Below are 12660 nucleotides of genomic sequence, written 5' to 3' on the forward strand. Positions count from 1 at the left end.
AAAGAAACAGAAGGAGAAGAGAATAAAAAAGTGTGAACTGGATTCTTTCTTAAACTTGGAAAAAAATCTAAATTTATTAAAGTAATAAAATTCCCATGATAAAAGGCACAATTAACAGTAATTTGATTACAATAATGATTAAAGAGAGAAAGATGTTGATAGCTGATATTTAAACTGGTTAAACTTTTAAGTAACTATAGTTTCCATCAAATGGAGTATATTGTGCTCTTTCATATGAGTTAGATGGTTCACAAGTAGCTAACTATAAATTATATTTATAATATAACTTTATATAAATTATATTACTACCTTCTGAAACCCTATTTCAGAAAAGGTAGGGGCAGAAAGAAGGGAAGCGAGACTAGATGAGAAAGAAGCTGATCAGAGTGAACAGGAGTTAAATCCTCAAGCGGCCCAGGAACTCAGCAGTGCTAAATTCTTAAATTGTTAAGGTCTTGAGTTAAGAAACAAAAAATGCCTGTTGAGAACACATGCAGTTTTGGCAGGACCAGTTTGCTGAAGCTGAACAGATTTGATCACTTACATATTGGTTAGAGAGCATTATTCTAAAAATTATTAATAGATTTTCAAGGCTGAGCATGGTGGTTCACATCTGTAATCCTAGCATTCTAGGAGGCTGAACCGGGAAGATTGCTTGAGCCCAGGAGTTCACAAGCACCCTGGGCAACATAGCAAGACCCTGTCTCTACAAAAAATAAAAAAAAATCAATCGGGTGTGGGGGCATGAGCCTGTGGTCCTAGTACTTGGGAGGCTAAGATGGGAGGATCCTTTGAGTTCAGGAATCAGAGGTTGCAGTGATCATGCCACTGCACATCAGCCTGGGTAAAGGAGCAAGACCCCATCTCTAAAAAAAAATAAAACTCTGTTAACAAAGTAGGATTGGAAGGGTCAATATGATGGTTCAATACCTTCACATTTTATAAAGCCAAAACAAACATTTATTGCACGCCATATACAAAGCCTTACACTGTGTAGTAAAAGAAGAAATATAAACAGAATAATGACCTAGACCTCGAATAGCAGACAGTCTAAATGGGCTGTCATGAAAACTAAGAAATATAATTCCATTTATGTAAACTAAAAAAGATATATATACAGACCTATATTTGTATATACATAACAAATTTCTGGAAAGAGATGTATATACTACAGTAACTGTTAAAGTTACTAGTTGAGGAGTAGGAATAGAGAGAAGTGTTTTATTTTAACTTTCTACCTTCTGTGTAGCTTGTTTAAACTTTGACCATAGCATCTTTCACTAAACCATACAAATAGGCCTAATATAAGCCAAATATGAATTAAAAGTCATGTTAACAAAATGATATAAGGCGCAAATTTATTAAAAATTCCATGTGAGCAGGAACTACTCTTAATCTTCTCATCTACCTGTAGCACTCAGCACAGTGTCTGATACCCAGATGACCAGTAGATATTCAATTAAATGGTAATTCAAGATGAGACTAGGTTGGGTGGCTGAGGCGGGTGGATCACTTGAGGTCAGGAGTTCAAGACCAGCCTGGGCAACATGGTGAAACCCCAACTCTACTAAACATACAAAAATTAGCCAAGCCTGGTGGCACGTGCTTGTAGTCCCAGCTACTCGGGAGACTGAGGCAGGAGAATGTCTTGAACCCAGGAGGCGGAGGCTGCAGTGAGCCAAGATCTCGCCACTGCACTCGAGCCTAGGCAACAGAGCAAGACTGTCTCACAAAAAAAAAAAAAAAAAAAAAAAAAAAAAGATTCACACTAGAAATAACAACAGACAAGATTCAGTGTGATATAGCCATATATTTTCCAAAGTATGTTACCCAGAAATTAATCAAGTTCTCAAAGACTATACCCTACAACCTCATCTTGAATGTGTACAATAATGACACATTAAAAGTTCTAAGATACTTCACAGTAAGAAACACTGCTTAATGTATTGTGTAATGGATTATTTGCCAAACCATTTGACCACTGGCACTTCCCTTCACCCCACATAACATCCACTAACTTCCCAAGGAACTAACTCTAGAACAGAGGCTATGTGGGTCTTGGACCAGGCAAACAAATAGGTAGTGGGGGACAGAGAGGGAGGTAATGCCAGTCAATTATTTCATTAATCCAAATAATAGCTTTTGAAGGTCATGCTAAGGAGTTTATACTGTATCCTTCAAGCAATGAGGGTGTTGTTCAGGGTTTTCAAAATATAAAGAGTTATACGAAAAGAATTCTATTTAAAAATGACTCTTCCCATTTAAAAAATAATGACCCAAATTAAAAAAAAAATTAATGTAGCATAGGGCCAAACAATGTATACCTTTGGACCAAATGTGACACACCAATTTGTAAACTCTCATCTATAAGACATAGCTACTGCACATGGAATATGAGGAGTGAAAGAATCAGAGAGGATGCCCAAGTTTTCCAGTGTGAGTCAATGGATAGATGGTGAGAGAGGTAACAAAATAGTCAATAAAGAAAACATCAGGTTTTTTCTCCCCACCTACTTATACCTGCCATGGAAGAGATACTTCCCATTCCAGGGACGTTGTGAAAAACCTGTGGGTCATATAGCTGAAAATATTTAACACAATGTTTCTAAACTTTTGTATGATTCCAAATGACCCCGAGGACTTGTTAAAACACAGACTGCTGGGCCTCAGCCCCAGAGATCTGAGTCAGCAGGTCTGAGGTGGGGCCCAATAATTTACATGCTTAACAAATTCCCAGGTGGTGCTGTTACATGTCCCTGGGTTATACTTTGAGAAGCCCCGGTCAAACTAGTACTTGGTATTAAACATCTGGAGATCAATAGAAGAGAGTTAAGGCTGAAGATAAATATTGGATAAGGGAAGAGAAAATTTGGGATAAAATTTTTCCAATAGTATTGCAGAGTAAAAATGGAAGAGTAAGATATCACAAGCTGACACTACATAAAAGATGAACCTGCAAAAACGACGAAGAGTAGAGATAAAAGTATTGGCAAATAAAGAAAATAAAGCTTTAATAAAAAGGAGAATAAAAGAGATAAACACGACAGAGAAATAAACAGAATGAGAGTTGAGGAAAAAGCACCAAATCTTGCAAATGAGTAGTCACCAACAAACTTTCAGAAAGGTTTCAGGAAAGTGGACATATTACAGCACACCAAGAGTGGACAGGTGGGACAATCAAACAGTGCATACAAACTAGTCAAAAAGTTTCAAAGTAAGACAGGTGGTAAGATGAAAAAGAGGCCAGTTTAACGACAGACTTAAAAAGTGTTATTTCACAAGCAGTACTTGGCTTTCAGGGTGCAGGAGACTTTCTAGGGATCAGGAAAACTGCTTTGTGGGAATGAATGTAGCAAAAACTCAAGGGTATGACAGCATAAGGGAGAATGCACTAACCAAATTTCATAGTCCAGAATGGATAAAATATGTAAAGCCAGGAATAGGTGATCAGGAAAGCTGAGAGGCATAAAAGTTTCAATGAGCCAGAACAAGGAGTTCAATAGGTGTAAAGGAATGGGAGAGCTAGAAGACATGGCTGTGATCTGAGAGTTGAATTTCAAAGTTCAAGATTTTTACTGGTGGAACAATTTCAGGAAATAATAACATCCAAAGTACTGCTAAAGTAAAGATCTTCAGAGGCAACTTATAGGTTTGTAGATGATGGCAGAAAGGTATGTGAATAGAATGAGTTTTCGAAAGAAAAAATTGCTGTAGGAAAACTAGAAATATTTTTAGTCTGGAATTAGGGAGTCAGTAAAGCGATGAACCTAGTCCCAAGAAACAGAATGTCAGAGAATAAAAAAATATTAAACAGACATAAGGAGATTTGCCCAAGTCACATAGAAGTCTTAAAACTGATAATAAGGCCAGGCACGGTGGCTCACGCTTGTAATCCCAACACTCTAGGAGGTCGAGGAGGATGGATCACTTGAGGTCAGGAGTTCGAGACCAGCCTGGACAACACTGTGAAACCCCATCTTACTAAAAATACAAAAATTAGCCGAGTGTGGTAGTGCATGCCTGTAGTCCTAGTTACTTGGGAGGCTGATGCAGGAGAATTGGTTGAACCAGGAGGTGGAGGTTGCAGTGAGCTGAGACTGTGTCATTACACTTCAGCCTGGGCACCAGAGCAAGGCTCCGTCTCAAAAAATTTAAAAATAAAAATAGATAAAATAAAATAAAAATAAACTAATAAATTCCAGATTGCCTCCCAATTCAGACCTACTTTTAATTAATCATAATGCTTTATCTTTTAAAAAGAATGTGCTTGTTGACTGTGAAAAACTCCTTCAAAAACACATTGACTTCTGGATATGGACATGGGGAGAAGGAAGCACAAAAGAATTAAAAAAAAGAGAAAGTTTTGGAAAACAGTTCAATTGCTGAAAAAATAGTTCTCTCTACTCTCCTAAATGAGTCACTCTCAAGTGAATCGTTTCTTTTTCCAAATTATAGAAAAGATTTAATAAATTCTATTTAAAGACAAATTTGATTTATATGGGTCATTAACATTCAACAATTTAGATTTTGGTTTTGGCCAATTCCAAAATGGCCAATGAGTTAGAGGTAATGAGTCACCATTAATTATTATACACAAAATTCAAGTAAGCAGAATCTTGACAAACGACTATGAATTTTATTTTGAAAACTTGCAAATTCTGTTTGGAATTTTAACAAATTCCATTGTTTCAATTCCACAAATGAGAGTTAAATAAAGTACTGAACACTGCAGCGGATTATTTGCTTCTAATTAGATGGAACAGTCAAAAGACTGTTAGTAGGAAAGTAAATAGGGTTAAGGCCAATGGGGTTGTCAAATGAGTATTAAAAAATGGGAGAAAACATGAAAAAAACAAAACTAATAAGAATAAAGGAGTAGAAAATATAAGTAGCTAGTAAACCAATGTACAATAACAAAAGAAAGATCAGGAGAGTTTTAAAAACTAATTTCCTACTTATTCATACTCCTCCCTATAATGCTACCACGTCTATTTTTTTGTTTTTTAAAGTATCATATAATAAAAATGACCTTTTCTTTTCCTTTTGGTATACAGCTCCATTTTTTTTTTCTTTGAAATAGAGTTTTGCTCTTGTCGCCCAGGCTGTAGTGCAATGGTGCTATCTCAGCCGACTGCAACCTCCATCTCCCGGGTTCAAGCAATTCTCCTACCTCAGCCTCCTGAGTAGCTGGGATTATAAGCATGTGCCACCATGCCTGGCTAATTTTTGTATTTTTAGTAGAGACAGGGTTTCAATATGTTGGCCAGGCTGGTCTGGAATTCCTGATCTCAAGTGATCTGCCTGCCTTGGCTCCCAATGTGCTGGGATTACAGGCCTGGGCCACCACACCCAGCCCCAAATGTTATCATGTACAGATCTGTGTTACCACTATGTAACACACAGTGATATGTGTCGTATGACACATATGATAGATTTGTATCACCACTATGGTGAACAGTTTCATCACCCTAAAAATCTCCCTCATTGCTTTCCCTTTATAGTCCTGGCAACCACAGATCTGTCCTATAAGGTAATCTTTAATTTTTATTCAATAAGAATTAAATAAGTTTTACAGGATAAAATAGCCTAATAAAGTGATTCTCTAAAGCATTTAAGAGAAAAATGTCAAATATGAAGTATGTTAAATACATGTATGGCTTTAGTTTTCTTCTGGATTATTTTTTGTTTAGGAACATAAACTTGTTCTCTGGCTTTCTCAAATACAAAGAATATTTTATTTGGGATTTCATTTTTTTTTTTTAGTGTTGAGAAGGCTTTTAAATTAACCAAGAAGTATGACTTTAAAATAATTTTTCATTGTAACTTTAACAGTTCAAGTAAAAAAAGCAAAAGAAAATAACATTAGATCAAGTATATCTAAAACAGTTATCTGCTTGAACACACTTTAATACTTAAGATTCACTGTGATTTCACAATATACCTCCCACAAAGAATCAATGTCAAGAAGACATTACAATTTTTTTTTAAGTTGTAGGTTCAGGTTTTCATCAATCTTAGCTAATAACAAAAAGAAACAAATTACTGATCACTTAACAACATGGATGAATAAATCTCAAAAACATTATGCTAAGTGAAAGAGGCCAGACACAAATTTAATCTATAGTGACAGAAATAAGATCAGTGGTTGTTTGGCCTGGGGCCAGAGACTGGGGTAGGAGACCAACTACAAAGAGATAGCAAACAATTTTTCAAACTGATGGAACTGTTCTATATCTAGACTGTGGCAATGGTTATATGAATGCATCCATCTGTCAAAATCCAAAATACCGTTTGCTTAAATGGTACATTTTATTGTATGTAACTTATACGTATAAAGTTGATTTTTAGAAAGTTAACAGGCTCAGAAGCTAATCCTTTTAGTCTAAATTAATGTAGATTTACTGTATTAAATTTAATGGGTTCAAAACCAAATTGATACTGGTAATATTCATGAACTAGCGACACATAGTAGACTAAGAGTATGGTTAAGAAAAATTGTGAAACAGATAAGCCACACACACACTTATATGATCCTTTGACTGCAAAAATGTTCTAGTTCTCTTCATAAGCTAAAGAGTACTTTTCATAATTTACTACTTGTATTTATGTTACAAATTTTGAGCCAAAGCTAAATACTGAGTATCAAGATCTTCTTATGTTTATAAAAAGTATCATGAGTTACCCACATGATAATCTTTTAAACAGTGCAGCCATCTGGTCTGGTTTGTCAAAGCTGGTCCTCATTTGTGTTAACACATCAACATTCTCCACCACAAGTTTCTAAAAAAAAAAGAAAGATCCTAGGTCAGGCACAGACCTCTTTGTGTTAATGAGATAAGAGCATGCTTGGAAATTACAATCTGGCAAGTAGGAAACACAATTCATGAAATCCAGACGCTCTATGCTACATATATTTTTTTGTTGTTTCAATAAAAGCATCTGAAAATTATTTATATAAGCTTAGTGTTTCCCTTCAGTTTACAAATTCAAGAAGGAAGGAGTTCAGGAAAAGCAACAAAGGTAAGTAGTAGGATAAAGAATCATCTTATGCTTACTTAGACGCTGAACGGCATCAATAATAAAAAGTAGACACTAAAATGGACATAGCAACAAATTCCAACTGAAACAAAAAAACTAGCTAAAGTTAAACCTGGCCAAAGGCAGGCTAGAGTATGCCTGTAGACAATGAGTATTACTGGATACATACAAGTAGAGGGAGAATGACTTGTTATGGTATGGTACCACTTGATGGGGATTATATAATAGTAATGTTTCCCAACAAAAATTATAAAATGGAAGTATAAACTATCTACTCCTCTTTCACAGACCACTGAGAAAAGGGAAGAGAAAAGAAGGAAGAGATATAAATAAGGGAAGGGTGTGAAGGATAACTATTCAAGAAAAGTATAACTCATTGAAGAATGTTCTCCTCAAAAGAAACATTACAAAGTAATTTAAAAATTATAACACAAATGTAATTAATTTCATTCTGTCAGAGATAAGCCTAGACAACAATAAACCGAGTTTCTAAAACAACAAAGAGAGAAGTGAGAGAGACATTCTGCTCTTTGTTGCAGTTACCTGTGCGGTCTGCTTTCACCACTAAGTTCACCACTATCACACTTCCCAGTTCTTTCACAATGTAAGTGAAGTTTATAATTTAATTTCTGATCTCTATATCTCTACAAAGTTCTTGTAAATCAGAATTTTCTTTACTTTTGTTCTCTATAATGGTTCTCAGCCCTTGTACACATCACAATCACCTGTGGTGCTCTTTCCAAATACACATATCCATTGCTTCATTCTTGGTTATTTCAATTCAGCAGACCTGGTTGGGAAGGTGCAGCAAGCATATAAAGTGCCATGGTGTTTTTTACAAACGAAAGGTTGATAACATCTGATTTAAGGGAAAAAAACTACACAGAAAATCCATAAAAATACTTTTTTTGAAAACATTAGTATAAGTTTTGTTTAGGTTGCTTGATGTTATTACTTCAGATTGTTTCTTATTATGCTGCTAATCAGAAGTTAAGCTCTAGTCACATTTATTTGCTGAATTTAACTTCTATGGTCTCTGATTAGGCTGCCTGCTCTCTCTGGGCCAAAACAAAACTCTCCAAATCTAAAACTGGATTCAATACACACTCAAACTCTATGCCCAAGCCTGATAGTGACCATGCACTTTAAACATCGTATCACATATCAGTGAATCAACACCATCGAATTTAAAATGCACCTTATTCTATGTGTCACTAAAAGGAAAAAAAAAACCCAACTACTAACACTATAAGATACATACCATTTCAGAAATACTGATATATGTTTAATAATAAGAGCAATTATAACCATTTGTTAAGCTCTTATACAAGGTAACTTATAATCATATTTACTATAATCCAATTAAGGTAGGTAATATTCCAAGTTTACAGCTGAGGAAACTAAGGTCAGAGAAGTTGGATAACTTGCCCAAAGTTACAGTGATATTCAACAGTTAATTTGGAATTTGAATTCGGGTATGTCTCACTTTAAAATCCATGTTCTTAATCCCTAAAGAAATGGTTCCCCATCTTTTGTGCGCATAAAAATTCTCTAGAGAACTCCTTACAAACACACATTGCTGGGTCCCAGCCCCAGAATTTCTGATTTAGCAGGTCTGAGACAGAGAACAAAAACCTGCATTTTTAACCAGCTCCAAAGTAATGCTTCTTCTGCTGGTCTGAGAAGTAAAATTTGTGAACCATTACCCTAAATTATTTGCTGGCTTACTATTTTTGCTCTCTATAAAGTTATTGATTAATCTCACTGATGAATAAACTGAAAGCTGGCAGTAATAATAGGAATTACCAATGAAATGGTTTAGAATAAGTTTAGACAAAGCAAGTGAAATAAATCAAGATTTTTTTTAAAAAAAAGTTTGATATAATTTAGTTGGTATTGTGTTAAAAAGAAAGTGTTAAATTCTTGGCAAAATTCATATTTAAATTTCCTACTTCATTTGAAAAAATGTCCTTTAGGATCCCATGAAGAACTAGAAGAACTGATCTGTAAAATGCCAAAACAATTCTTTTGGCAGACTGGAAGGAGAAATGGACTCAACGCGCACAACCCCAAATAAAACACCCAAGAATTTTCGTAGAAAAAAAGACGGTTGCTTTCTTCTCCTGAAAGGAATAAACATGTTTCACCATAAGTACACGTACATAGTGTTGATTATGTCTGACACACAATTTATTCACAACCATCAAATATAAAAAAGCTCTACTTCTTTAATTAGCACACAAATTACCCTATAAAACAAAAAGGTCCTCGGCTAAAACAGGAACTAAAATAATTAAGATCACCTTTAAGATAAAAAGAAAAAGATTGAATCAAATGATACTTAGTTTATATCAGTTTAGATTAAATATTTTAAAAATGGAAATAAAAGCAAAGAAGTGGCCAGGCATGGTGACTCACACCTGTGATCCTAGCACTTTGGGAGGCCAAGGTGGATGGATCACCTGAAGCCAAGAGTTTGAGACCAGCCTGGGCAACACAGCAATATTTCGTCTCTACAAAAAACTTTAAAAGGCTGGGCGTGGTGGCTCACACCTGTAATCTCAGCACTTTGGGAGGCCGAGGTGGGCGGATCACCTGAGGTCAGGAGTTTGAAACTAGCCTGTCCAACATGGTGAAACACCACCTCTACTAAAAATACAAAAATTAGCAAGGCGTGGTGGCAGGCACCTGTAATCCCAGCTACTCGGGAGGCTGAGGCAGGAGAATCGCCTGAACCCGGGAGGCAGAGGTTGTAGTGAGCTGAGATTGTGCCATTGCACTCCAGCCTGGGTGACAAGAGCGAGACTGTCTCAAAAAATAAAAAACAAAAAAAAAGCTTAAAAAAAAAGTAGGCACAGTGGTACACGCCTATATTTCTCAGCTACTCAGGAGGGTGGGCCCAGGAGTTGGAGGCTGCAGTGAGCTATGAACGTGCAACTGCACTCCAGACCAGGTGACAGGGAGACCCTGTCTCTTAAAAAAGAAAGAAAGAAAAAAAAACCAGCAAAGAAATTACAGAATGATCTTTAAAATATTACAATTCCCCCCAAAACACAAAACACTGTATATACTAACTCCAAAAAGACTAAGATGCTATTAGAGATATCACAATGTTCTGCTGAGGAGAGTGTGAACTACAATATTTTCAGAGGGATATTTGGTAATATCAAAAAAAATTAATGTTCATATTCTTTGATCCACTTTTAGAAATGTTTCCTATCAAAATGCTCAAACATGCTGGTGAGGTTGCAGAGAAAAAGAAATGCTTTATGCACTGCTGATGGGAATGTAAATTAGTCCAGCCACTGTGAAAAGCAGTTTGCAGATTTCTCAAAGAACTTAAAACAGAATTACTACTCAACCCAGCAATCTCATTACTGGGTATATACCCAAAGGAATATAAATCATTCTAACATAAAGACCCATGCATGTGTATGTTCACTGAAGCACTATTCACAACAACAACAAAAAGACATGGAATCAACCTAAATGCCCATCGACAATAGACTCAATAAAGAAAATGTGGTACATATATATCATGAACTACTACACAGTCATAAATAAGAATGAGATCATGTCCTTTGCAGCAACATGGATAGAGCTGGAGACCATTATCCTAAGGGAATTAACACAGAAAGAGAAAACCAAACACCTCACATTTTCACTTAAAAATGGGAGCTAAACATCAAGTACACATAGATAGTGCAGTGGCTCACGCCTGTAATCTCAGCATTTTGGGAGGCTGAGGTGGGTGGATCACGAGGTCAGGAGATCGAGACCATCCTGGCTAACACGGTGAAACCCCGTCTCTACTAAAAAATACAAAAAATTAGCCAGGCGTGGCGGTCGGCGCCTGTAGTCCCAACTACTCAGGAGGCTGAGCCAGGAGAATGGCGTGAACCTGGGAGGCAGAGCTTGCAGTGAGCCGAGATCACGCCACTGCACTCCTAGCCTGGGCGACAGAGCGAGACTCTGTTTACAAAAAAAAAAGGAGCGACACACACCAGGGCCTACTTGAAGGTAGAGGGTGGGAGGAGGTTAAGGGTCAAAACACTACCTATTGGGTACTTATGCTTACTACCTAGGTGACAAAATAATCTGTGTGCCAAACCCATGACATGTCATTCGCCCATATAACAAACCTGCACATGCACCCCTGAACGTAAAATAGAAGTTGGAAAGAAAAAAAAAATGCTCAAACAAGTATGTAAACTATGTAGAAGTGCTGATTAAATGTAGAGAATTTTAAATGTCTAAAACTGCTCCTTTCAGAAATCCACTCAAGTCAGAGGTAAAAAAATAAAGGCATAAACCTACCAAAAAAAAAAAAAAGGAAACAGCAGAAAAAACAAGATCAAAGGAGAAAAGTCAACAAATTCCTGGAAGATGGAAACTAGAGCAAAGAATAAGGAGAGGTGAGAAATTTGATTAGCAAGTTCTTATAATGGAGATAAAATGCAGAAGCAAGTTAAATCACACCTCAAGAGGGAGGAAAGGAGGAAGGGATCAGAAATTGAAGGCAATGGCACAGAAAGGAAGGCTTGAGGCTGAAAACAAGACAATAATTTAATCATGGCAGCCTGCCAGATATATAAAACCTCCTACCTCCACCCTGCACTAATCTCCAAAAGACTTCCACTCTCCAGCTGAAGGTCATGTGCTTGATGAATTATTTGCAGGAATCATCTGAAGCCTAGGATGAGGATATCTTTCTCCAGAGAAGATCTGTGTTAGCTTCTGCTAAGTACATTGGGGCACTACCAACCTAGGACCACATTAATCCAGGTCCAAGGATTGAGATGCCTTAGATAAAGCATATAACATAAACAGGGCTGCAAATCCTGGGGAGGGGTGACTCATTTCCAGTTCACCCCTACCCCGAAGTTAGACAGTGTCTATGTAAAGAGGGCTGGGGAGAAATTATGCAGACTTCCTTCCCATGCCCTACTTTGAGAAGGCTTTACTCTAGGTTTTTGACTACTGACACCCTTGTTCCACAAGGCCACCAGAATTCAGCTTAGTTTTACAAATGTTACTTCTGCTTCAGTACACATGCCTGGGTGAAAAGTGGCTTCCAAAGCTGGGCTTATGTCTCTGATTTCCCAGGTTCTCCTTGGCGTCAGCCTAGAAATACTTCACTATCTTTTTAGTTCTTCTTTAAAGAAGATTATTTTATAGAGATATATATATATCTCCAGCTTTTTAAGTTGTTCTTTGGAAATAAGGAGGTCTGAATTACCTACCAATACTGGAAGCAAAAATCTGTAAGTTCTTTTGTTCCTATAATTTCAAAAATTAGGTTATTCTAAGGAAATTTTATAGGACGCTAAAAAAATTAGAATCATCACTGACAGAATAACTTTTAGAGATTTATTTCAATGAGACAGACTAGTATACAACACACTGAATTTATCTATATGAAACATCATTATGATCTGTAGGATTTCTTATGTAATAAAATATAAGAATACGTATGAAGTATGCCTCAGTACACAGAGGCTGAGAAAACAAAGTCACAAATAAACACCTTCTCAAGTTCTTAATAATACACAAGTAGTTGAATACTAAACAATCTGGATTATTAGGAGAGAACTCAAACAAAATCACTATAAAACATTATAC

At 36.4% G+C, this 12660-nt stretch overlaps 1 protein-coding gene across 4 annotated transcripts in view; it reads right to left on the reverse strand.

Moving 5' to 3' along the window:
* Positions 1-12660, reverse strand: part of NCKAP1 (NCK associated protein 1) — a 129343-nt gene that overhangs the window by 26269 nt on the left and 90414 nt on the right. For all 4 annotated transcript variants that reach the window (NM_001437266.1, NM_013436.5, NM_001437267.1 and 1 more), the window contains one exon: positions 6687-6780. In NM_001437266.1, coding sequence (NP_001424195.1) covers positions 6687-6780 — 94 coding nt within the window. The remainder of the gene's footprint in view (positions 1-6686; positions 6781-12660) is intronic.

The sequence above is a fragment of the Homo sapiens genome, chromosome 2, assembly GCF_000001405.40.
Source record: "Homo sapiens chromosome 2, GRCh38.p14 Primary Assembly".
In the NCBI taxonomy this organism is placed as follows: Eukaryota; Metazoa; Chordata; class Mammalia; order Primates; family Hominidae; genus Homo; species Homo sapiens.